Source organism: Homo sapiens, chromosome 3, assembly GCF_000001405.40.
Source record: "Homo sapiens chromosome 3, GRCh38.p14 Primary Assembly".
Lineage (NCBI taxonomy): Eukaryota > Metazoa > Chordata > Mammalia > Primates > Hominidae > Homo > Homo sapiens.
The window spans coordinates 194132506-194155359 of NC_000003.12; the positions used below are offsets into that span (position 1 = coordinate 194132506).

Here is a 22854-nt window from a genome sequence, read left to right on the forward strand (position 1 = left end):
ACAGACAATTTTCTGTCATCACCACTTTTCCATCTGTTTAAAATAAGAAAGAAAATTCCTTCCCCTTTGGCCCAGGTTGCAGGTCAACAAAGGAGGCATTGTTCATCATTTCTTCAGAACATGACAGGGCACAGCTCACTCTGCAGTGTAAGAAAACATTTTTTAAAAAAAATCTCAGAGTAGCCTTAGGGGCAACAGTGAGTAAACCAAAGCCTTCGATGAGGGAAATGTTTGGTTGCAGACTGGAGGACTATCCTGGAAGGTGGAAATGAGGCTTAGGTTAATACGGTCAGAGCCATGATTCCTTAGTTAGACTCAGGAATTAAATCTGAGTTCCTGAGTTCCTGGTTGGGGGTTGGGAACACTGCATTAAAGGGTAGGCAGGTTTGAGTTGAACTCAGTTCCCAAGAGCGTGCGGTCAATGTCCAGAGGAGCTGGATGTAGACAGATGCCTCTGGGAGTCAGTCTGCACCTGCCTCCTAGGAACCTTCTTCACTGGCTTGAACTGCCTAACTGCCCTTTCTGCCTCCAAGCCCTGCAATCCACTCTCCCACTTTTGCCAGAGCCATCTTTCTAAAGGGAAACCCTGATGCCTCTTCTTTGCTCAAGAATGTTTCATGGCTCTCCACTGTCTAAAGATAAGGTCCAAAGTCCTTCAGCAAGATGTTTAAGGAGCTTGTGACATGGCCTCAAGCTGCCTCTTCCAGTCCCTCACATTCCCTAGGCTCCAGACCATGTTCCCTGAATAAAGTCTTCAAGTTCCAGGATCTTGGCCTTTAATACCATGGGTACCTGCATCCTCTCCAGCCCACGACTAAGCACATTCCCAATGCCCCAATCCTACCTATTTTTCAAGGTACACAGGCCAATCCCTCCAGGAAGTTTTCCAAGGTACCCCAACTTAAAAGTAACTTAATTCTCCTGAAACTCCATAGCATTTTACCTCTATCCAGACATACGTCTCTCTTGAACCTACGACTTCCCAGAGGAATTTACTGGGCCATCCGTAGATGTCAGCTGTACACGTTTATATGTATCTCTAGACTGTTAGCTTCCAGAGAGCAATAACGGTCTTACTCACTGCTGTAAACCCAGGTAGACCAGCAATACTGTTATCCATACAAGTATGGTTTCATATTTTGTTTCTGTCCTCCTGATCTCTCAAGCCACCACCTAACTCAGAAAAGAAAGGAAAAATAAAGGAATGTCCAGTCATCAATCAGAAAATCAGCGTCTGTCTGCCCCCGCAGTTTACTGTCAACTTCTAGCAGGCCGCCACTGTATCTCTCACCGTGGAAATCCCAGGGTTTAACACAGTGTCTGACACTGCGCGTGTGTTCCACAATGAAAGAGAGAGGGGGGCTTGCCCAAGGTCACCCAGAGTCAGGAACCACTGAATCTCATCCGGGACGAGATCTGGCGAAATCATTGACAACGTTATCTCAGTGGGGAGCTGGGAGGCCGGAAGGAATGAAGTGTCTGAGAACCGTGCGCCAGGCCTCCGGGACGCGGGAAGGGCTGAGGGGGCGGGAGGCCACATCAAACAAGACGCTGGGCTCCCGGGCTGCCCGGAGCCGCGAGCCGAGCTCCCAGGCGGCGGGAAGGGCGGAGGGGGGGTGGGGGCACGGGGGCCGGCGACCCGGGCAGGCGGGAGGGAGGCGGAGGAGGCGGCCGGCCGGCCCAGGCAGTGCGCGCCGCCCGCCCGGCTCGGCAAATCCCCCAGGGAGGCCGCCGCCAGAGCCCTGGCGCTCCCGGCCCGGCGCCCGCCACGTGGCACCCGGCGGCGGCGGCGGCGACTCCTCCCGGCGCGCGGCCCGGCCAGCAGGCAGCACGCAGCCGCCCGCGCCGCCCGCCTCCTCCCGGGCGCCCGCCGGCGGCCTCCCGGGCGTAGTGAGGGGGAGCGGCCCGGCCGCCCGGGACCCGGGGAAGGGGCGGGCGGCGCGAAGCCGCTTTAACCGCAGTCGCCGAGCGGAGGCAGGAGGCTGACCCGGCCGCTTCCTAAGTGCGGTCAGGCATCCCGTGACCGCGGCGGGCGCCCAGGGCCCCGCGGGGAGAGGGCGGGGGCGAGGAGCAAACTTGGAGGCCCCCACCTCGCCCCCGGGCTGTTGCGAATGCGGCTTTCGGCCGAGTGAAAACCCCAAGCCCGAAAGTGAGGGTGGGGAGGCGGGGGTTGGAAGAATTCCCCACTCTCCACCCCGGGTGTGCGCTCCCCGCCGGGAAGAGCTGACCTTGGCCTGGGGAGGCGGGGGTGGGGAGAGAGGGTAAGCGCCGGGGCTCGGCTCCCAGCCCGCCGCCCCCTCGGATTCCTGGCCCGGCGGGGCCGGAGGAGGGGGCCCCGGACACACACACACACACACCCCCCACACGCAGCGCGCGCCAATGAGCCCGGGCCAGGCGCAGGGGGCGGGGTTTTCCCAGGCTCGAGCACAGCAGCTGCTATTTACCTTCTTGGCTTCTCCCGGGGACCAGGAACCGGCCCCCGCTCTCCGCCGCCCGTCGCCGCCCCCCGCCTCCCTGCCCCCGGGGCGCGCGCACACACACTCACTCACACACGCACGCACACACACATCCTCCCGGCCCGGCCGCAGCCGCGGCGGCAATAAAACATCCTGGCACGTGCTCCGGCTCCAGGCGCGCCCACGCCGGCCGGCTGATGTCAAACTGCAGCTCGGCTGGTGTAGCTCTTAAAGGGCCCGCGGGCGCCGGGGGCCGAGGCCGCCCGCGGGGCGAGGAGGGAGAGGCTGCTTCCTTGCCCGCCACCTCAACGCGCCGCAGAACCTAAAGCCTACGGATGAAAAGGGAAAGGGTGGTGAAGGAGGGCGCGAGTCCCTGAGTCATTGCCCTCGGAGCCCCCCTTGTTCATTTTTTCATTTGAAATACCGTTTCCTTCCACCCAGTTGGAAATTATTCTGATTGTTTCCTGGGGAAGCCCGGGGTCTAAGGCCCCAAATCCAAACGAGGAATTTCTGAAAGACGGGGTGGGGGTGGGATTCAAGAACTACCTTGCTCCGAAAAACCTGCATTTGTGAGGTAGAAGGCAATTTTTCCTTTTTCTGCATGGAAACAGGAAAATTTTTTTGGCCCTTTTCCTTTACCATCTACTTTCACCCTCCTGAATGTAAAGTCTGAGCGGGAACTTTAGATGTGTCGGTAACTCACATTCTTACACCCGTCCCCCCCTCCCCCCGCCCCCTTTTAACCACTGCTGTTTTTTTCTTTATTGTTTATACCTTTAAAAAAAATATGTTTCAAATGAACTTACTACAGTCAAAGCAGCTCTGTTACATATGAGAGAGGGCATAAAGAGCAAAGACCCTGGCTCCAAAAGAAATAGACAAGATCAAGACCAAAGCGGAAAGAAAAAAAAAATCTCTAAACCAAAGCCCAGAGGGAGAGTAGCAAAGGGTTAAAATCCTTTTGATTGACGTTGTAGCCTCCGGTGCCCTGGGCTCAGGCGCGCGCCATTGGCCGCCAGACCTTGTGCCTGGCGGCCAATGGGGGGGCGCGGTCCACGAGCGGTGCCGCGTGTCTCCTCCTCCCATTGGCTGAAAGTTACTGTGGGAAAGAAAGTTTGGGAAGTTTCACACGAGCCGTTCGCGTGCAGTCCCAGATATATATAGAGGCCGCCAGGGCCTAGGGATCACACAGGATCCGGAGCTGGTGCTGATAACAGCGGAATCCCCCGTCTACCTCTCTCCTTGGTCCTGGAACAGCGCTACTGATCACCAAGTAGCCACAAAATATAATAAACCCTCAGCACTTGCTCAGTAGTTTTGTGAAAGTCTCAAGTAAAAGAGACACAAACAAAAAATTCTTTTTCGTGAAGAACTCCAAAAATAAAATTCTCTAGAGATAAAAAAAAAAAAAAAAGGAAAATGCCAGCTGATATAATGGAGAAAAATTCCTCGTCCCCGGTGGCTGCTACCCCAGCCAGTGTCAACACGACACCGGATAAACCAAAGACAGCATCTGAGCACAGAAAGGTAAGGGCGGTACCTGTATCTCTTTGCAGCCCCTCAAAATTAAGTAGGGGTTGGGGGGCTTCTTTCTGTCTTGAAACCCCGGGATGGCAGATTCCATGGGAACACAGAACTCTTTTTTTTATTTGCAGTCATCAAAGCCTATTATGGAGAAAAGACGAAGAGCAAGAATAAATGAAAGTCTGAGCCAGCTGAAAACACTGATTTTGGATGCTCTGAAGAAAGATGTAAGTGGGGAAATGCTGCTCGCTCTTTTAATTAAAAAACAAACACTTTCTCAGCTACTAAGAGTGAAACCCCCCGCCCTGCGGGGTCTGGCACTCGCTGGTACTGCGTTCTCCCAGGCGGGAGGGCCCGGCCTTATTCGCTGGGGTCCAGAGATAATGCTTGCGCTCCGTGGCCGGGAGGAGGGACCCCCAGCACTCTGAAGCAGCTGACACGGGGCTCACTTTCCTTTCTTGCCTACTCTATGCAGAGCTCGCGGCATTCCAAGCTGGAGAAGGCGGACATTCTGGAAATGACAGTGAAGCACCTCCGGAACCTGCAGCGGGCGCAGATGACGGGTGAGGGCGGCTCGCCGCGTCCCCCTGTGCGGGCGTCCCGCTCGCCTCGCGGTGATTTCTTCCAGACTTCCGCCCGTGGTTGTGAGAGGCATTCAGCTACATTTTACTGCCTTGGCTCACTCTTGCGTTCCCACGGTCTGGGGCTTATTTATAGCCACAACTCCAAGTTGTTACTGTTCCGGAAAGGGAGGGAAAGAGGTTGCAGCCGCGAGGGTGGCGGGCGCCGGGTAGGGGCGAAAGGACTTAGGACTGTGGCGGTTTGGAACTGCGTGGAGCCTGGGGGTCACTGGTTTAGCACTCCTTCCCGTTGCAGAAGGGGAAATGAGGCTTGGATGATGGATTGGGAGGCATTGTCCAAGGTCACATCGCGCGCGGGGGTGGGGGTGACAGATCTGGGGCTGAGATAGGTTTAAATGCAGCTACAGGGAATCGGGAAGGAGTGGCTCGGCTTTTGGCAGCAACGCTAGTGTGGAGAGGTGGCTGGTTTTTTCTAAACCCATCTCACCCTCCCTGCCGGAGGCAGTTTCACGGGCGCATGGTCAGGGAGGCGCGCCACAGGGACCTCCCAGGGCGGAGGCAGTGGCCACGGGGCCAGGGCCGTTCGGTGACCCGTCTGTCTCTTTCTGGCCCGCAGCTGCGCTGAGCACAGACCCAAGTGTGCTGGGGAAGTACCGAGCCGGCTTCAGCGAGTGCATGAACGAGGTGACCCGCTTCCTGTCCACGTGCGAGGGCGTTAATACCGAGGTGCGCACTCGGCTGCTCGGCCACCTGGCCAACTGCATGACCCAGATCAATGCCATGACCTACCCCGGGCAGCCGCACCCCGCCTTGCAGGCGCCGCCACCGCCCCCACCGGGACCCGGCGGCCCCCAGCACGCGCCGTTCGCGCCGCCGCCGCCACTCGTGCCCATCCCCGGGGGCGCGGCGCCCCCTCCCGGCGGCGCCCCCTGCAAGCTGGGCAGCCAGGCTGGAGAGGCGGCTAAGGTGTTTGGAGGCTTCCAGGTGGTACCGGCTCCCGATGGCCAGTTTGCTTTCCTCATTCCCAACGGGGCCTTCGCGCACAGCGGCCCTGTCATCCCCGTCTACACCAGCAACAGCGGCACCTCCGTGGGCCCCAACGCAGTGTCACCTTCCAGCGGCCCCTCGCTTACGGCGGACTCCATGTGGAGGCCGTGGCGGAACTGAGGGGGCTCAGGCCACCCCTCCTCCTAAACTCCCCAACCCACCTCTCTTCCCTCCGGACTCTAAACAGGAACTTGAATACTGGGAGAGAAGAGGACTTTTTTGATTAAGTGGTTACTTTGTGTTTTTTTAATTTCTAAGAAGTTACTTTTTGTAGAGAGAGCTGTATTAAGTGACTGACCATGCACTATATTTGTATATATTTTATATGTTCATATTGGATTGCGCCTTTGTATTATAAAAGCTCAGATGACATTTCGTTTTTTACACGAGATTTCTTTTTTATGTGATGCCAAAGATGTTTGAAAATGCTCTTAAAATATCTTCCTTTGGGGAAGTTTATTTGAGAAAATATAATAAAAGAAAAAAGTAAAGGCTTTTATGTCTTCGAACTGATTCTTCCAGAATATGTAAAAAGGCTTTTGGTGGAATTTGAATTACATGTAATTGGTAATTCAGGAATTGACTCTTTTGTTATTAAAAGAACATTTGTAAAAATCCATCAAACTTTTCACCAATCCTCCATGAACTAAAAAGACTAAATTCCATTTACTTTACAAGCAGCCATCTGGTAAGGCTTCCCTGATAAACTTGTGGTCAGTCTCTTAAAGGATTTCCAAAAAAAATGTTTTTAAGTTGCAGTCGGGTAAGTCTGCAGCCCTTGTTCTTCTAGCTCCTCCTGAGGAAGATTGAACAGGACTAAATTCACGAAGCTAATGGATCCAATCCTATTGCCCATTGCACGTTAAGGGTGGTTCCTGCAGCTCTCCTCTCAGGGTAGCTCACCAGCATCCAAAGCAAAAACACTTCCAACTGCTGCGCCTCCTTCAAGACTTGGGGTCTTCATTAATTAGCCAATCCTTTGGTTCAAATAAGACGTTCCCTAGCACCCAAAAGTTTCCTCTCCGCACCCTCTTAAAGCAAGCTGAAAAGGTCAACAGATTCCTTCTGCCAAGGGACAGTTAGTTAGACTCCCAAGTGGAGGCCGAGCCCAGATGATTAACACCAGACATGTGTTTTTGATAAGTTTCTGTGCTTGGCTCTAATAGAGAAAGCATGTGGGGGCTGTGCTGGCAGGCACACAGGCCATCTTCCCCTTTTAATACAAACAGCAAGCGACCCCTTCGCTTGGTCATGCCCCATTTCCAGGCAAGATGTGGGCTCCAGATAGAAGCAAAAGGGTTGTCTCGGGTTTCAGCTCACATAACCCTCCTTAACAAGTCCTAACTCAAAGCGGACAGCTTTAAACTGTGCCAGGATCTGCAGGGAATTTCTTCCAAATCCCATCACAAAGGCTTGTCAGATTTTGTCAGATTTGGCCAGGTGTTTGACTGCATCCAGGTGTTGGGGAAATGAAAACCACGAGCCCTGCGAGACCAGACACATCAGCCGCGCTGTGGGTCTGGCGGGCGCGCCCTCCTCCCCCACCGCCGGCCAGTCCTCCTCCCCCCCGGCCCCTCCCGCCAGCCTCCTCTAACCCCCCTTTTCTTAGACCGGCTTCTGGGAGGAGAAGGATGAGGCGGGAGAGATCAATCTTTGAAGCTTTCCTAACAAAGATAAAGCCAACGATTTTCTGTCTTGTTTCAAAAGCTTTACCTCTCCCCCGCCCTGCTCTGGCCTTTCCCACAGGCCAGTGTGGAGAGCGGCTCTATCATAGGAATGATCGGGGAGACAGCAGTTTTCCACTCAAGATACCTTCGGACCCAGCTTCCACCCCAGAGGGAGAGATTTAAAAGAGACCTTTTTGAATTTGTCTCCTACCTGCCTTACTTTGTGTACATGAAAGGTGTCCAACACACCTTCCGCCAAAGAAACACACACACACCCTTATCATTTTTCCACGTTTTCCCTCCTGTTGAAACACAAACAAAATAACAATCGTCCATTAAGACACCCAACTCAAGCACCAGTGTTTCATTTGGTAAGCCTGTCCTCTGGGTCCACTAGGAGCCCCTTAACAGTCCTGGTAGAAAAAATCAGACCTCAATGTCTTATTTTTACACAAGGAATTCCTTTTACATCGATGTCTTTAAAATTCACAGGAAAAAAAAATCTCAACACCAGTTGAAAATTCAATGTCCCTATGTTGAAGGGGAACAATTTTAAAAGTGCATTTGTATTAATATCACCGAAAGTACATAGATATCTTCCTAGGGAGGGGACTAAATCAAAGGAAAAACACAAATACGTTTTTTTCTTTTTTTTAATTGGTGATTTGAAAAGAGCACTTTTTTTCCCCCTGAAAGCTAGGTTTAGACTATTCCACGAGGATTTTTTCTTTGTTACAGTAAGGGGAGAAGGTGGAGACCCCACTAGGCTCCAAACCGGAAAGGGCACTTTCCAGTTCCTGCCCAGCTATGCCACCAAATTCACTGTGTCACCTTGGATAAGTCATTTCCCTTCTCTGGGTCATTTCCAAGTCTGGAAAATGAATGGACTTATTTCTAAGACGCTGTACCCTCCTGCACTTTGGCTGTTTCTGGAGTAAGTAGCTGAGGGAGAGGCGAAACTTCAAAAACGACTTCAATGATGTTGCCTCCCTGGGGGTCCCTCAGGCCTGGCCTAATTATACGGCCTCGGGCACACCAGCAGCCCCTCTCGCCGGCCCCCAGCAGTGCTGATCGCTCGGGGAGATAAGGCACGACTCCAAACTGCGTCCGGATGCGGGCCGCGGGCCCCGGCTGCCGCGCGCATTAGCCTCTCAATGGAGCCCTTCCGGGGCCCCGGCCCCCCGCCGTCTCCAGCAGCATCCGGAGCGGGAAAGGCGCCGAACTGGAAGGGGGTGGGGGTGCTCTTCGGTCAACACGAGAGCCCTCTCCAAGCGCAGAAGCGCGACTCCGGAGGCTCGCCCCTCCTCGCGCCCCGTCCCACCCCACGCGTTTCTGGAATGGGGACCCTGGGGTTTCGTTGGACCCCCTCGTCGTCACCACCGTCCCGGGAAACCTGTCATTAAAGTCAATTAACTTTTCCCACACCCGTTGGCCGGTAACAACCCGCTCCTAGCTTCCTCCCCGGCTCCTAAGTGCAACCAGATGGGCGGACGGGCTGCCCCCGCCGCGCGCCCGCCGGGGCGGCCCGGGGGTTCCAGGGAGGCCGCCCGGGGCCCTCCGCCCGGGCGGGAGCCGGCCAGGGCGGCCACGCCGGGCCAGCCCTGGCGGCCCTGCGGCCAAGGTGGTTCGCTTAGCAGGCCCGGCTGCTTTCTGGCAGGAAATGAATAGCTCCCAGATGAGCTCAGGCAACCTGAGAGGTCGTGAGAACGGCGCGAACCCCCGCCTGTGCAGCCGGCAGCCTGCCAGGCCGCGGGGGGAGCGGGCGGCGGCGGCGGCGGCGGCGGGAGGCCGGGAGGCCCGGCGGGCGGGCGGGCGGGCGGCGCTGACACACGAGCCCGCGCCCGCTCCCGCTGACAGGCAGGCCGCCGCCCCCGCTTCCCCCGCCCCGGGCCCCAGCGCCTCCCAAGCAGCAGGCCTAGGCCGCAGGAAGGCGGCCGCGCGGCCCCGCCGGGCCTGGGGGTGGGGCCGCCTGCCAGTGTTTTTCCAGTTCCCCCGGTAGCTCCGGGCCGCATTTAGTAGCTGGGGAAACTGGGCCGAGGCCAGGGCCGGGGCACTAGAGGCCCTCGCGGCCCGCAGAGCCCTGCCAGGCGGCAGGCCACGCCGGGGCAGGAGTGGGCAGAGCGGCGGGGTGAGGCCATCCCAGCCCACAGAGCCGTCCCAAAAAAGACCTTGCCACCAGACAGCAACCCTGGACGCCTAAAAAAAAAATCCTCATTTCTGAAAACCCTGAGCGCCTACTGAGTGCTCAGCAGGCCCAATTCCCACCAGCCTCCGCCGCACCGAGCTCCCTGTGTAGCCGGGGAGATCCACAAACACCCTCGTGACTCATCCCAGGTTTGATGTGCTAAGTGCCAAAACTGAAGTTTAAACAAAGGGCACCTAGAACAGAGAGATTAATTCTGATGAGAGGAAACCAGGCCGGGGAGGTTTTTCAGAGTTGGCACTTGAAGCCGAGAGGTGAAAGATGAGTTCAACAGGAAGGGTTAGAAGCAGAAGGGTGAGGGAAAACGCGGAGATGAACATATATACGTCCAGTCTGGGGAGATGTCAGTATGTTTACCATGGTGTGGTATCTAAGTTTTCAAATATACAAATTGGCTTAGAGGTCAAAAAAAGAAAAAGAGGGATAAGCCCTGCCGCAGTGGTTGGCTTAAATGCAATACAGCCCAGGGGTTAGAAGCACGTGGTCTGGCTCCTGGCGGCTTGGCTTAGGTTTTGAGCCCGAGGGAAATTACTGAACTCCCTGCCTCAATTTTGTAACTCTGTATCTCATTTGTAACTTAGGGCTCGTCAGGGTAGTGCTTCACAGGGTTGAGAAGATGAAATGAGTACATGCACTTAAAGCATTTAGAATAGTGCTGTCAGCTCTTCGGATTCTTAACCACAGTGAGGGACGTTCACCAGACAAGAAAGCCAGTCCCGGCCTTTGCCCAGCGATGGCAGGATCTGCTTGTAATTGCACCAGGCCCTAGGTGAAAGGACCACTGCTTCTTCCTTAGTTTCTGAATTTCATGCATTCATTTGATAATTATTGAACCAGGCACTATGGGAATAAAGGGAGAAGAAAGGCATGGTCTCTGTAACTATAAAGCTATCTGGTAGACAAGACAGCTTCCACACAAGAACAGCACTGCTGGGCGCGGTGGCTCACGCCTGTAATCCCAGCACTTTGGGAGGCCAAGGCGGGTGGATCACAAGGTCAGGAGATCGAGACCATCTTGGCTAACATGGTGAAACCCCGTTTCTACTAAAAATACAAAAATTAGCCGGGCTTGGCGGCATGCGCCTGCAGTCCCAGCTGCTGGGGAGGCTAAGGCAGGAGAATGGCGTGAACCTGGGAGGCGGAGCTTGCAGTGAGCCAAGATTGTGCCACTGCACTCCAGCCTGGGTGACAGAGCGAGACTCCATCTCAAAAAAAAAAAAAAAAAAAAAAAAAAACCAAGAACAACAACAAATTGCTGTGTTAAGTGCCATAAGGAAAGAGTCATGCACAGTGATGGTACAAAAAAAGATTGCACGTCACAACAGGTAACTTTTTTGGTTCTCCAAATATGATTAATCCTTGTGATCATTCATAGAAATTACTGGCATAGTAAATAATTAGTCAAATTCCACCTAAGAAAGGTGATTCTCAAATGGTTAATTTCAAGGGTAATTATTTTACAATACTAACATCTTCTGCATGAGCATAATTACCTAGATGTGGTCAAGAAACTGGACTGCGAGTCAGGAAATCTGAGGCCTGATCCAGTTGGACTGCTACCTGTGAGATGCTGGCCAAGTCCCCTTACGTCTCTGGGCTTCGATCTCTGTGCCAGCACAATGAGAACGTTAGGCCAGGAAGCCTCTGAAGTGCTTTCAACTCCAGTCTGTGATTCCCTGTCCTCAGTGTGCTTCTGTGTGCCTTTACAGTTTGACACATGCTCTGTGGCTCTAGCAATGTATATCAGGCGTATTTCAGACCTTACAGCCAAGGCCCTGGCAGGATTGTTACAGACAAGTTTTTTGTTTTTTTGTTTTTTTTTGAGACGGAGTCTCACTCTGTCGCCCAGGCTGGAGTGCAGTGGCACTATCTTGGCTCACTGCAAGCTCTGCCTTCCGGGTTCACACCATTCTCCTGCCTCAGCCTCCTGAGGAGCTGGGACTACAGGCACCCGGCTAATTTTTTTTTTTTTTTGTATTTTTAGTAATGACAGGGTTTCACCGTGTTAGCCAGGATGGTCTCAATCTCCTGACCTCATGATCCACCCACATTGGCCTCCCAAAGTGCTGGGATTACAGGCGTGAGCCACCGCGCCCGGCGACAGACAAGTATTTTCATCTGCAGTTAAAGATATGGGGACTGAGACCTGAAGGACAGGCATCGTAGTTCACCAGAAAATAGCCTACGTATCAGTTTCCTGGAGAGCTGCCATGTTAGTGAGAATCATAGCTACTGCAAAGTACATCGAAGGCAGACTGCATCTGCCAGGATTTGCTCACATATGTGCTACCAAGACCTTATCCTTTGCTATGATATCGAGCAGCAAGAGTTAAAAATACCACTTTCTCTCTTCATCCTAAAAAAATTTCCCCCAATCCTTTTCACTTGCTCACTTCTTTTCTGAAAAGAGAATGTGATCTGTTGGTTCTCGGGACTCTCTCTATTTAAGAAATATACTTCCCCAACTGGGCCAGGTGCAGTGGCTCACACCTGTAATCCCAGCACTTTCAGAGGCAAAGACAGAAGATTGCTTGCACCAGGGGTTCAAGACCAGTCTGGGCAACATAGTGAGACCGACATCTCTATGGGGGAAAAAATAAAGAAAAAAAATATATATATTTCCCCAACTAGCTAGAGTTTTTCCACTAGTACATTTACTGAATTAAATAGGCTAACTGGACTAGTCTGGCTAAAGAAGAATGTCAATCTGAATTAGTGGAAAATCTGAGTTTTAAATATCTGTTAGGAAAAGTAGTAACTTTGCAAATACTTGTAGTGAGTCTGAATTCATAGCTTTCATAAAACTAATGCATTAAAGTCATTTAAAGAATGTGTTCTCTTATTAAGCAGGTTAAATGTGGCTCTGGCAATATTATTTGTACTATAAATCTTCCTTAAAATAATCAGAGGGGCCAGAGTGCAGCCCAAGTAAATAATTGCAATCTAAATTAATAAGAAGCCTTTACTGCAGCTATTCTTTCTATGTTCAGATATGTTCCCAATCCTAATTTGTCTTTAGTCAAGCAGAGATCAATACATTTTTTTCTTAGAAGTCCAAGTATAACTTAATGATAGCCATGTTATTTAAGGAACACTATTTGTTTCTTATTTTGTTTTTCACAAATGTGATAGTTTTCATGTTCAACTAACTTTATGAGTTTTGTCATCAATGTGAGACATGAAATGTATAATTAGTTTACAAAAAACTCCAGCCTAAAGAAAAACTATTGCAATTGACAAACACTACCCCATACTTCATGTTTTCTGCACCATCATCTTTTCCTCCTAGCTTTATGGTTATAAAATTTGTCTCTGGTCAGGCGCAGTGGCTCACACCTGGAATCCCAGGGCTTTGGGAAGCCGAGGTGGGCGGATCACTCGAGGTCAGCAGGTGGAGATCAGCTTGGCCAATATGGTGAAACCCCGTCTGTACTAAAAATACAAAAAATTAGCCGGGCATGGTGGTGTGCACTTGTAAGCCCAGCTACTCGGGAGGCCGAGGCAAGAGAATCGCTTGAACCCGGGAGGCAGAAGTTGCAGTGAGATCACGCCACTGCACTCCAGCCTGGGCAACAGCGAGACTCCATCTCAATAAATAAATAAATGAAAATAAAATTTGTCCCTAAAACATCAAAATTTAAAACAAGAATATGATTGCTTAACAGGACCAGGAGAGAGCAAATGCAATGTGTCACCAGGTGAGGTGGCACACACTTGTCCCAGCCACTGAAGAGACCGAGGGGGAGCATGACTTGAGCCCAGGAGTTCTGGGCTATGAGATGCTATGCCCAATACATGTTCACACTAAGTTCAACATCAATATAGTGACTTTCTGGGAGCACGGGACCACCAAGTTGCCTAAGGAGGGGCAAACTGGCCCAGATTGGAAGCAGAACAGGTCAAAACTCCTGTGCTGATTAGTGGTGGGATGGCACCTGTGAACAGCCACTGCACTCTAGCCTGGGCAACATAGCAAGACCCTTTCTCTTAAAAAAAAAAAAACTGCAGTGTGTCAAATCTGTTTCAGAGCAACTGCCATAAGTGACATTTAAGATGCATTAACAGCCACCAGAATTGTTTCCTGGGATAATACAAGGAAACATCTGGTGTAAGTTTTTCACTTAATTCTTTCCCCATTCTCACAGGTAAGTGTAAAAGTGCACTTTTTCATTTTAGTGAATCCCCAATACACATCTGGGGTGGGGATGGGATAGAAAACTTGAATGAGGCTTCTGACACCCCAGATTTGTAAAGAACAAACGCTTTCGAGGCACAAGTTATTCTTTCCCATGTTCTGTTTCATAATTAAGACCGTTTGATTATATTCATACAAATAGAATCTTGAAGGATCAGATAGATATTTATCCTAAGACTCTACATTATTATTATTATTATCTTGAGATGGAGTTTCGCTCTTGTTACCCAGGCTGGCGTGCAATGGCGCGATCTCAGCTCACTGTAACCTCCACCTCCTGGGTTCAAGCAATTCTCCTGCCTCAGCCTCCTGAGTAGCTGGGATTACAGGCATGCGCCACCCTGCCCGGCTAATTTTGTATTTTTAGTAGAGATGGAGTTCTGCCATGTTGGTCAGGCTGGTCTTGAACTTTCAACCTCAGGTGATCTGCCCGCCTCAGCCTCCCAAACTGCTGGGATTATAGATGTGAGGCACCGTGCCCGGCCTTACATTATTAATAATTATGATTATGACTTTATTAAGTAACTGTGGAATTGGCCATTCATACCGTTCAGGTGAGAAGAAGCCTTCAAAAAAAATGATGAAAATAAAGACTTTTTTGTGTGATTTTTGGTTTTGTTTCCTTGTTTTGCAGCCGGGGAGGCCCAGGTTGAAGGCAGAGCACAATCACGTAATTGTCTCAAGAGCTCTGGAGTTGCTTGAGTGTGTTTCGTAGTCTCTTTCAGGTTTCATTTTGAGTGCAGAACAAGGAGATTCCATCCAAAGAAGAGACATTTTGGGACAGTTTAAGGCCAGGAGCAGTTCAAAAAGGATAACGTCAAATGTTGTTCTTGCCTCAACTATTCGCACGGTTCCTGTATCAAAGACCGAAGCTGTCATCACATTTACACATCTGTACTGGTTTAGAAGTGTAAACTCCTAAAATTAGAAGTTTGATTTCAAGCAATCAATTGTCTTAATATATAGCCATCAGTTTCTAGCCAGAAGACGGGCTGAATTCAACTTAATTTTTATAAAGCCCAGTTTCCATGCTTGGCATACAACCTCTAGGCAGGGTCCAGGTCTCAGCTCAGTACTTGCTCTCCTCTGAGGGGAGCCCATCAGCATGTCCCTGCTCTCTCTGGATACTTGTTCCATTTTAAATAAACACCCCTCTACATGCAGCCCCTCTGTGAACCCCTCATTTCCCGGTTTGCTTTTCTTTTGAGCCTGGCGGGTGGATGATGACGCTGAGTGCGGGTGGCCAGGGAGCATGTGTACCATGGGGTAGCGAGTGTGCTTCTGCTGGGCATTCTCTGCTTCCCTATACCCTTGCCAAGCCATTGCTCCTGCTTCCTGAGATAAAATCTGTCCTTGGTGCCATCCAGCACTCTCACTCTTTCGATTCCTGGTCCTCTCCTGACTTCTCCGCTTAAGCTTGCCTCCCCCCGGCTCCAACCCTTCCTCCTTTCTCAGGGTCTGTGCTCCAGATGCTATCCTCGTTCTCTTCATCAAGGATGTGGCCCACAAAGCATGTGCTATGCCTAAATCTCCAACCTCCCTTACTTTTTTGACTTTTCCCCCTCAGCATATGAGCACATTTATTTCTTTACAATCCTTAAGAACCACCCTGCGGCCTCTCTCTTCCCATCTCACAGAGAATGCCTGGATTTTGCTCATGGCCCACACTGCCTGACGACCCTCTCCTCCCCACGCTTGCAGCCAGCCTCGCTCGGGGCCCTGCACTCTGCCGACAGGCTCTAGCCTGGACGACTCAGGGAACAAACCAAATGGTCATTTTTCTGTCCTTTCCTCTGTCAGCATTACAACATTTGTAAAGTGTTGACCATGTTCAAACTCCATCCTTGAAATTCCCTCCTTCCTAACCCCCTGAAGCATCTCTTTCTTCTGAGTTCTTCCAACCTTTCTGGTAATTTCTCAGTACCCCTATGGGATTGTCTCCTTTTACCTTCTACCAGTAACTTTGTTCTCTTGTCACTCGGCCACCCATAGTAGTGATGAGCATCTACATGCCCAGAGGAGACTACCCAATCTGGCATTTTCAACCCGTAATTCTTTCCTGAGCTCTCAAGCCATGGACTCAGCTGCGCACAGGACATCTCCACATACATGGAAGTCAGCATGTCTCAAACTCGATTCCATGAGCCCGGCTGTCATCCCTACAGAATGCCCCTACCCTTATTTTCCTAGGCTCAGTGCGTCTTGTTCACACTCACCCTGTATCTCATCCCTGCATCTGTCTTATGAATCTCAACCCCATTTCATTGCCTTGGTACAGAAATTTCAAGCTTTTTACTTTCATCTTCCCGAGACTGATCTCCTCAACTCTGGTCCTGCCTCCCTGCAATCCGCTGGCCATGATCCAGTCCAAACAACCCTGTCTCTGTTAGAAGATGACCCAGGGCTTCCTGCTGCCTTCACGACTGCAGAAACTGGCATGCTTTGCTCCCGGCCTACTCAGCTGCCTCATTCCCTGCAAGCAGGCCTCATCCCCCACCTCCTTCTACCCATGCACAAAGCTGCCTCAGTGCCCAAGCCTGCCACGCTCTCTGGTTTCTGTCGCTTTGCAGTCTTTGTGCCTATGCTGGAAGTTTCCCTCCCCCGCATCTCTACCCAGACACCTCCTACTTCACAAGTCCTTCGAGACTTGGCTGGGTCTGCTTTGGGAAGCCCACCCTGCCCAGTCCCCTGCTCTGACCCTTCCCCACCCCTCCCGCCCTCTCCCTGGGACATGTTTGTTTGTTTGTTTGTTTTTTGAGATGGAGTCTTGCTCTGTCACCCAGACTCTCCTGCCTCAGCCTCCTGAATAGCTGAGATTACAGACATGCACCACCATGCCTGGCTAATTTTTGTATTATTATTATTATTATTATTATTATTATTATTATTATTATTTTGAGTAGAGACAGGATTTCAACATGCTGGCCAGCCTGGTCTCAAATTCTCAAATTCCTGGCCTTAGGTGATCTGCCGTCCTCGGCCTCCCAAAGTGCTGGGATTACAGGCGTGAGCCACCGTGCCCGGCCTCCCTGGGACATTTAACACAGCGCTGCTGACATTGGACTGTAGTGTTGGTTTATCTGTCTCCGCAGCTTAGGCTATGCATGTTTTAGAGGCAAAAATGATGTATTTTTCTGTACCCCCGGCACCTGGCACAGTGGCTGGCATACAGAAATCATTCAGGAAGCTGTATACTACCAGTGTAGTAAGAACGGTTGATACTTGGAGGTTCACAAAATGCTTCCACAAACACCATTTCGTTTGATCCTGAAAGCAATCCAGACAGGTAAGTACGGCTGGTGTTGTTATCCTTATATCAAATGTGGATATTTAGGCTCGCAAAGTGCAGGTGAACTGGCCAAGGTGACAGCTAGGAGGTGACAGAGGTGGAGTCTCTGGAACGCGCATCTTCTGGCCATGAGCGCCATACTTAAGCTAGTCTCTATGGCTGCACGAGCATCCCTTTCCTGCCACCTGCCAGAGGAAATAAACCTAGTTTTGATCTCTGTGATTCATGCATTTTTGCTACACATGTAACCAGAACCAATTTGCTGGAAATCTGTACTCTTCCCTGCTTTGCTGGTGTAAAACATGTATAACTAAAGTCTCTTAAGGAGTGGGGGCTGCAGGTAACATTCTCCTGTCTCTCAAATGGTACAGAATTAATGTAATCAAATTTTTTTTTCTTTTCTTTTTTTTTTTTGAGACGGAGTTTTGCTCTTGTCACCCAGGCCGGAGTGCAATGGTGCAATCTCGGCCACCTGCAACCTCCACCTCCCGGGTTCCAGCGATTCTCCTGCCTCAGCCTCCTGAGTAGCTGGGATAACAGGCATGCACCACCATGCCTGGCTAATTTTGTATTTTTAGTAGAGACAGGGTTTCGCCGTGTTGGTCAGGCTGGTCTCCAACTCCCGACCTCAGGTGGTCTGCCTGCCTGGGCCTCCCACAGTGCTAGGATTACAAGCGTGAGCCACCACGCCCTGCCAATCAAATTCTTTTTAAACATAAAGATTAATACTCCTCAGCAAAAATGAATTGCCAGGTATTTTTCAGAATCAAAAATTCTGTGCAGAGAATGGGAAAATAAATCCTAAACTTTCAGGAGGAAGAAAAGTATCCAATTTTGAAGATCGTATTGTGAGCCTGGTTTGAAAAAGACTTGTCTGTTATAGGTGAATGAGTCATAATGTGACCCAGAGAAACCCGTAACTAAAAGCATATAAGGGTGTAACAAGCGAAGTCCAAATCACCGGCTGGGACTGAAGGCACACCAGGAAAGCCAAAACACAGTGTGGCTGTTTGTCACAAGATCAATACAATCTCTGTAAGCAAAGTGTTCTCCACCCACAAAGCAGTTGCTGACTTTCCAGATAAAATTTTTTTGGCTTTTTCTGCCTATCTGTGACTCCTGGTGTTTTGCATTCCAGTTTTGCGATACAGCAAAATACATATTACCTGAGGGGTTTACACCTTCTTCAGGTCACCTGCAGCCAGGATGCGGTGCCTGACGAGAAGTGTGCCCTGTGCTGCTGTGGGCCACTGGCCCACAAAACACTTCCCAGTGGGGCTGACTAGTCATTCATGCAGGGGATTAATGCAGCTTCTGCTCTGTTCCAGGCACCATTCCAGGTGCCAGAGTTTCAACAACAAACAAGACAGGCAAAGCGCTGGCTCTCAAGAAGTTCACATTCCACCATTGGGAAGAAAACAAATAAATAAAGGAGAGGATGGGCCAGGTGCAGTGGTTCATGCCTATAATCCCAGCACTTTGGGAGGCTGAGGCAGGAGGATTGCTTAAGGCTAGGAGTTCAAGATCAGCCTGGGCAACAGAGTGAGACACTATCTCTTAAAAAAAAAAAAATTAGCTGGTCACAGTAGCACACACCTGTAGTCCCAGCCACTCAGAAGGCTGAGGTAGGAGGGTCACTTGAGCCCAGGAATGAGGCTGCAGTGAGCTATGATTGCGCCACTGCACTCCAGCCTAGGCAACAGAGTGAGACCCGGTCTCAAAAAAAAAAAAAAAACAAAACACACACACACACACACACACACACACACACAAAAGGAGGGAATGTAAATTCATGGGAAATACTGTGAAGAAACAAAATAGGATGTTGTGGTGGAAGGGGTCAGGGGTGGGGTCTAATTGAGAATGGACAGAGAAGGAAAGGCTTACTGAGGAGGTAACTCCTGAAGCCAGGAAAGCCAGTAAAACACAGCGAGTCTAACAAAATGCCCAACCTGATTTTGAAGAACTAGTTGATGATGGTGGAAAATGTCACCTCCGGCCAGCCTGGGCAATGTTCATAAATGGCTAGTGCTCAGGACCACAACTTGGAGCAAGGTCATTTGCTGCTGTTTTTATGATCACACAACTACTAAAAACCTGTCTACAGTCTGCAGGCCGGGCACGGTGGCTCACACCCATAATCCCAGCACTTTGGGAGGCCGAGGCGGGCGGATCACGAGGTCAGGAGATCGAGACCATCCTGGCTAACATGGTGAAACCCAGTCTCTGCTAAAAAAAATACAAAAAATCAGCCAGGCGTTGTGGCAGGAGCCTGTAGTCCCAGTTACTCGGGAGGCTGAGGCAGGAGAATGGTGTGAATCTGGGAGGCAGAGCTTGCAGTGAGCGGAGATCGTGCCACTGCACTCCAGCCTGGGTGACAGAGCAAGACTCTGTCCAAAAAAAAAAAAAAAAAAACACCTCTCTGCAATCCGCAAAGCACTTTAAATATTTGAAGTGAAAGCGAATTCAGAGACAGCGAACTTAATCTCTTTGTTTGCCACATGAAGAAATGGTTATGGCCCTGGTTGGCTTTGCATCCACGTGTTCATTCCATAGACATCCTCTGAGTTCTTGCCTTGTGCACATGGTGGGCAGGGAACCACAGGGGATACAGAAATAAACAAAATTCGAAAGGCCTTCAAGGACATCACAGTCTAGCAGGGAACACATTATCTAAGCCACATAGGAGGAAAAAAGTGCTGAAAGCAGTCATCCCCAGACCCCACCCAGAACTAGCAAGGGGCAAGCCAGAACTAGAACCCTGGACTCCAGACTTCTCATCTGGGATTCTTTCTTTCTTTCTTTCTTTCTTTCTTTCTTTCTTTCTTTCTTTCTTTCTTTTTCTTTCTTTCTTTCTTTCTTTTCTTCTTTCTTTCTTTTCTTTCTTTCTCTCTCTCTCTTTCTTCTTTCTTTCTTTTCTTTCTTTCTTTTCTTTCTTTCTTTCTTTTCTTTCTTTCTTTCTTTTTCTTTCTTCTTTCTTTCTTTCTTTTCTTTCTTTCTTTCCCTCCCTCCCTCCCTCCTTCCTTCCTTCCTTTCTTTCTTTTTTTCAAATCTCTCAGCTTTGTATTTTCTGTTACTTCCACCTAGAAAATCTCCCTATGTCCCCAGGCCATCCTCACCAGTCCATTTGGCTAATACTTAGCTTTCAGGTCTCAAATTAGATGGCTGCCTCTGAAACCTTGCGTGAGCCTCCTCTCCGTGAATTTCCTTCTGCTGTGCCCTCACTATGTGCTGTGCTGCAGTCAACATTGCCCAATAAGACCCCTCATCACATGGGCCTATGAGCTGTCCTTCAGGGTCACACTGCAACCTCAGGACCTGCCACAAGGCCTGCCGCACAGTAAGGGCTCAATAAAGTTCTGTTAACCAAGTAGGCAGATAGACAACTGTACTGAGCACGCTGCCGCCACTCTCACCGCAATGCAATCTTTTCTTTTCTTTTCTTTTCTTTTTTTTTTTTTTTTGAGATGGAGTCTCACTCTGTCACCAGGCTGGAGTGCAGTGACATGATCTCAGCTCACTGCAACCTCTGCCTCTGGGCTCAGCTCACTGCAGCCTCCGCTTCCGGGGTTCAAGCAATTCTCCTGCCTCAGCCTCCTGAGTAGCTGGGATTACAGGTGCGTGCCACCACACCCAGCTAATTTTTGTAATTTTAGTAGAGACAGGGTTTCACCATGTTGGTCAGGCTGGTCTCGAACTCCTGACCTCATGATCTGCCCGCCTCGGCCTTCCAAAGTGCTGGGATTACAGGTGTGAGCCACTGCACCCTGCCTCTTCTTTTCTTCTTTCTCACCTCCCTGCCTCCTTTTCCCACATCCTGGCACCTCCTCAGATCCCCGTGTACCTACTTGCCTCACCAGGGCTCCACCCAGACCTCCCTCCGAGGAACTACTGGGAGACCATTCACACTGCACTTATCTACCTCCGAGTGCCAGGCGTCCGGGCTGAAGAGCAACAGGACACCCAAGAAATGCCCTGACCCAGACTGTTTCTCTCTAACTGGATCCCTTTGCAGAGGACTGGGAAGCCATCTCTCCTACCCTCAGCACAGATCAGCCCCACAAAGCCATGGCTTCTTAGCGGCTTCCCAAGTCCCCTCACAGGACCCACTCACAGATAAGACTGGGAGGGAATACCTGGCTGTGTTAGGGAAAGAGAATATGGGTGATTTTTTTCCCTTTTCTTCATTTTCCAAACAACTCCGTGAAGTACTTATGCTACTTTTATATCCAAAATGTTTACATTTTTTAAAATGAGTCTTTGACAACAGCTTGGAGAACATGCTTTCCTCTTCTGAATGCCAGTCATACTGCTAGTCGGTGCGGTTCAGCCCAGCACGTAATTACCCTCTTCCTAAGTCCTGAGTATTGTTGTTGGGTCTCTCATGGCTAGACTGTCACACGGAGACAATTCGCGCCGCTTTACTCTGGGTTTCTCTACTAGGATCATCCCAGGGTCTGCCTGGCTTGTTGTGGCTGCTCATAACTTATTGTTTGGCTTTTTTGCTCAGGCCTCAGGTTTTGAGACAGCCCAGGGCTTCCAGTTGAGGGCTGAGGAAAAGGCTCTCCTCCTTCTCCGCCCTGCCTGAGCTCTGGTTCCATTCTCTTCCCTGAACTTGATGACTGACAACTATTTCAGTCTCTGAACTCAGCTCTCTGGTGGATTAAGGTGGGAGGCAAATTTGTTGTCACACTCCCAGTCAAGAGGTGGAGTTTTTCTCCTCCCCTCGATTCTGGCCTGGCCCTGTGACTGCTTTAATGAATAGAAGGTGCAGAAGTCATACTGGGCCAGTTCCAGGTATAAGCTTTAGGAAGACCTGGGAGATTTTGCTTTTGCACATTGGAGAGCCCTGAGCCACCATCTAAGAAGTCAGCTACACTTCTGGATAGACCATGTGGAGCAGCCACATGGAGAGAGAGAGGCCTGGCCATCCCAGCATCATGGCTGATCCCAGCATCATGGCTGAGCCCAGCCTGCCGGCCATCACTGCCAAGGCACCAGACATGAGGAAGCCATCTTTGGTGTTGCAGCTGGTGGAGTCCCAGGATGACTACAGCACAGCCAATGCCATGTGGAGCAGAAGAGTCGCCCAGCTGAGCCCACTCAGCCCTCAGCATGATGAAAGATAATACAATGTTGTTGTTTTAAGCCTACCAAAGCTGGCTCCCGACTATCACCAACACAACCTATCGGTGAGACAAAGCTGATCTCATTGCTTATTGCGGTAAGGGAGAACGCCACCTGGCAAAGCTTTGGCAGTGCTTCCAATGGGGAAAGGAAGGTCAGAATGCACTGATAATTGGGAGCTTGGTTTAAGGCAGTCCTTCATTATGGGGACTTGATCAGGACCGGGCAAGAATCACTATGCAACACTCCAAAATTGGTGGAAACAGCAAAGTAAGGATTTCAAGATGAAGGAGTCACAGAATCTTAGGGCACAAATTGTCTGTGGATGTTTTCCATGGAATGGTTGATGGAAAGTTTCTTTAATGAACAATCAAACCACTTACCTGGCCAGGAGACATCTGGAAAAATCAAGTCATACTAATGAAGACAGAGAAACAGCACAAAGTCATGTTACTATAGGCTGTAGGATATGGTTTAGGTTTCCCGGGTCCAGGCAGAGCATGGAGCTAGCTGGTTTTTGTTCTCAAGCCACTAAGTTTTGGAATGCTTTGTCACACAGCAATTAATAATCAAGACATTTCTCTAACCCTTCACTTCTCAATATTTCTGTATTTCTCAATCCGTTCATTCTTCAAATACTTGCTGTATACCTACTATGTGCCAGGCACTGTGCTAGGCTGGTGATACAAAAGAGAGTAAGATAGACCAGGTCCTCACTTTCTTGGAGCTTAAATTGTCATCAGGAGGAGATAGACAATAAACCAT

At 50.3% G+C, this 22854-nt stretch overlaps 1 protein-coding gene and 1 pseudogene across 1 annotated transcript, besides 10 other annotated features; both read left to right on the forward strand.

Annotated features, from left to right (window-relative positions):
• Positions 1721–2000: a silencer, noted in NCBI's record as "silent region_15013". NCBI's record gives its function as "represses an Ori minimal core promoter by ATAC-STARR-seq in GM12878 lymphoblastoid cells {active_cell/tissue: GM12878}" and the evidence as "EXISTENCE:reporter gene assay evidence [ECO:0000049][PMID:35858748]".
• Positions 2071–2610: a silencer, noted in NCBI's record as "silent region_15014". NCBI's record gives its function as "represses an Ori minimal core promoter by ATAC-STARR-seq in GM12878 lymphoblastoid cells {active_cell/tissue: GM12878}" and the evidence as "EXISTENCE:reporter gene assay evidence [ECO:0000049][PMID:35858748]".
• Positions 3601–4800: an enhancer, noted in NCBI's record as "BRD4-independent group 4 enhancer chr3:193853895-193855094 (GRCh37/hg19 assembly coordinates)". NCBI's record gives its function as "activates an origin of replication core promoter dependent on BRD2, P300/CBP, MED14 and CDK7 cofactors, and independent of BRD4, by STARR-seq in HCT116 cells {active_cell/tissue: HCT116}" and the evidence as "EXISTENCE:reporter gene assay evidence [ECO:0000049][PMID:35650434]".
• Positions 3610–3769: an enhancer, noted in NCBI's record as "active region_21015". NCBI's record gives its function as "activates an Ori minimal core promoter by ATAC-STARR-seq in GM12878 lymphoblastoid cells {active_cell/tissue: GM12878}" and the evidence as "EXISTENCE:reporter gene assay evidence [ECO:0000049][PMID:35858748]".
• On the forward strand, positions 3643–6227 carry HES1 (hes family bHLH transcription factor 1). The gene is made up of 4 exons (NM_005524.4): positions 3643–3983; positions 4112–4207; positions 4456–4543; positions 5178–6227. Exons 1-4 carry the CDS (start codon positions 3876–3878, stop codon positions 5726–5728), a joined length of 843 nt encoding a protein of 280 aa, NP_005515.1. The 5' UTR covers positions 3643–3875; the 3' UTR covers positions 5729–6227.
• Positions 5337–5536: a silencer, noted in NCBI's record as "silent region_15015". NCBI's record gives its function as "represses an Ori minimal core promoter by ATAC-STARR-seq in GM12878 lymphoblastoid cells {active_cell/tissue: GM12878}" and the evidence as "EXISTENCE:reporter gene assay evidence [ECO:0000049][PMID:35858748]".
• Positions 5567–5756: an enhancer, noted in NCBI's record as "active region_21016". NCBI's record gives its function as "activates an Ori minimal core promoter by ATAC-STARR-seq in GM12878 lymphoblastoid cells {active_cell/tissue: GM12878}" and the evidence as "EXISTENCE:reporter gene assay evidence [ECO:0000049][PMID:35858748]".
• Positions 8173–9167: an enhancer, noted in NCBI's record as "NANOG-H3K27ac-H3K4me1 hESC enhancer chr3:193858467-193859461 (GRCh37/hg19 assembly coordinates)". NCBI's record gives its function as "activates a minimal SCP1, AML or CMV promoter by ChIP-STARR-seq in primed H9 embryonic stem cells {active_cell/tissue: H9 hESC(primed)}" and the evidence as "EXISTENCE:reporter gene assay evidence [ECO:0000049][PMID:30033119]".
• Positions 8173–9379: a biological region, named in NCBI's record as "NANOG-H3K27ac-H3K4me1 hESC enhancer GRCh37_chr3:193858467-193859461".
• Positions 8800–8869: a silencer, noted in NCBI's record as "silent region_15016". NCBI's record gives its function as "represses an Ori minimal core promoter by ATAC-STARR-seq in GM12878 lymphoblastoid cells {active_cell/tissue: GM12878}" and the evidence as "EXISTENCE:reporter gene assay evidence [ECO:0000049][PMID:35858748]".
• Positions 8960–9379: a silencer, noted in NCBI's record as "silent region_15017". NCBI's record gives its function as "represses an Ori minimal core promoter by ATAC-STARR-seq in GM12878 lymphoblastoid cells {active_cell/tissue: GM12878}" and the evidence as "EXISTENCE:reporter gene assay evidence [ECO:0000049][PMID:35858748]".
• RN7SL215P (RNA, 7SL, cytoplasmic 215, pseudogene) lies at positions 13169–13466 on the forward strand (annotated as a pseudogene).

Coding starts and splice junctions, on each gene's coding strand:
- HES1 (NM_005524.4), top strand. CDS start 3,876: ATGCCAGCTGATATAATGGAGAAAAATTCCTCGTCCCCGGTGGCTGCT. Junction 3,984..4,111: donor CAGCATCTGAGCACAGAAAG/GTAAGGGCGGTA, acceptor TTTTATTTGCAG/TCATCAAAGCCTATTATGGA. Junction 4,208..4,455: donor TGGATGCTCTGAAGAAAGAT/GTAAGTGGGGAA, acceptor TACTCTATGCAG/AGCTCGCGGCATTCCAAGCT.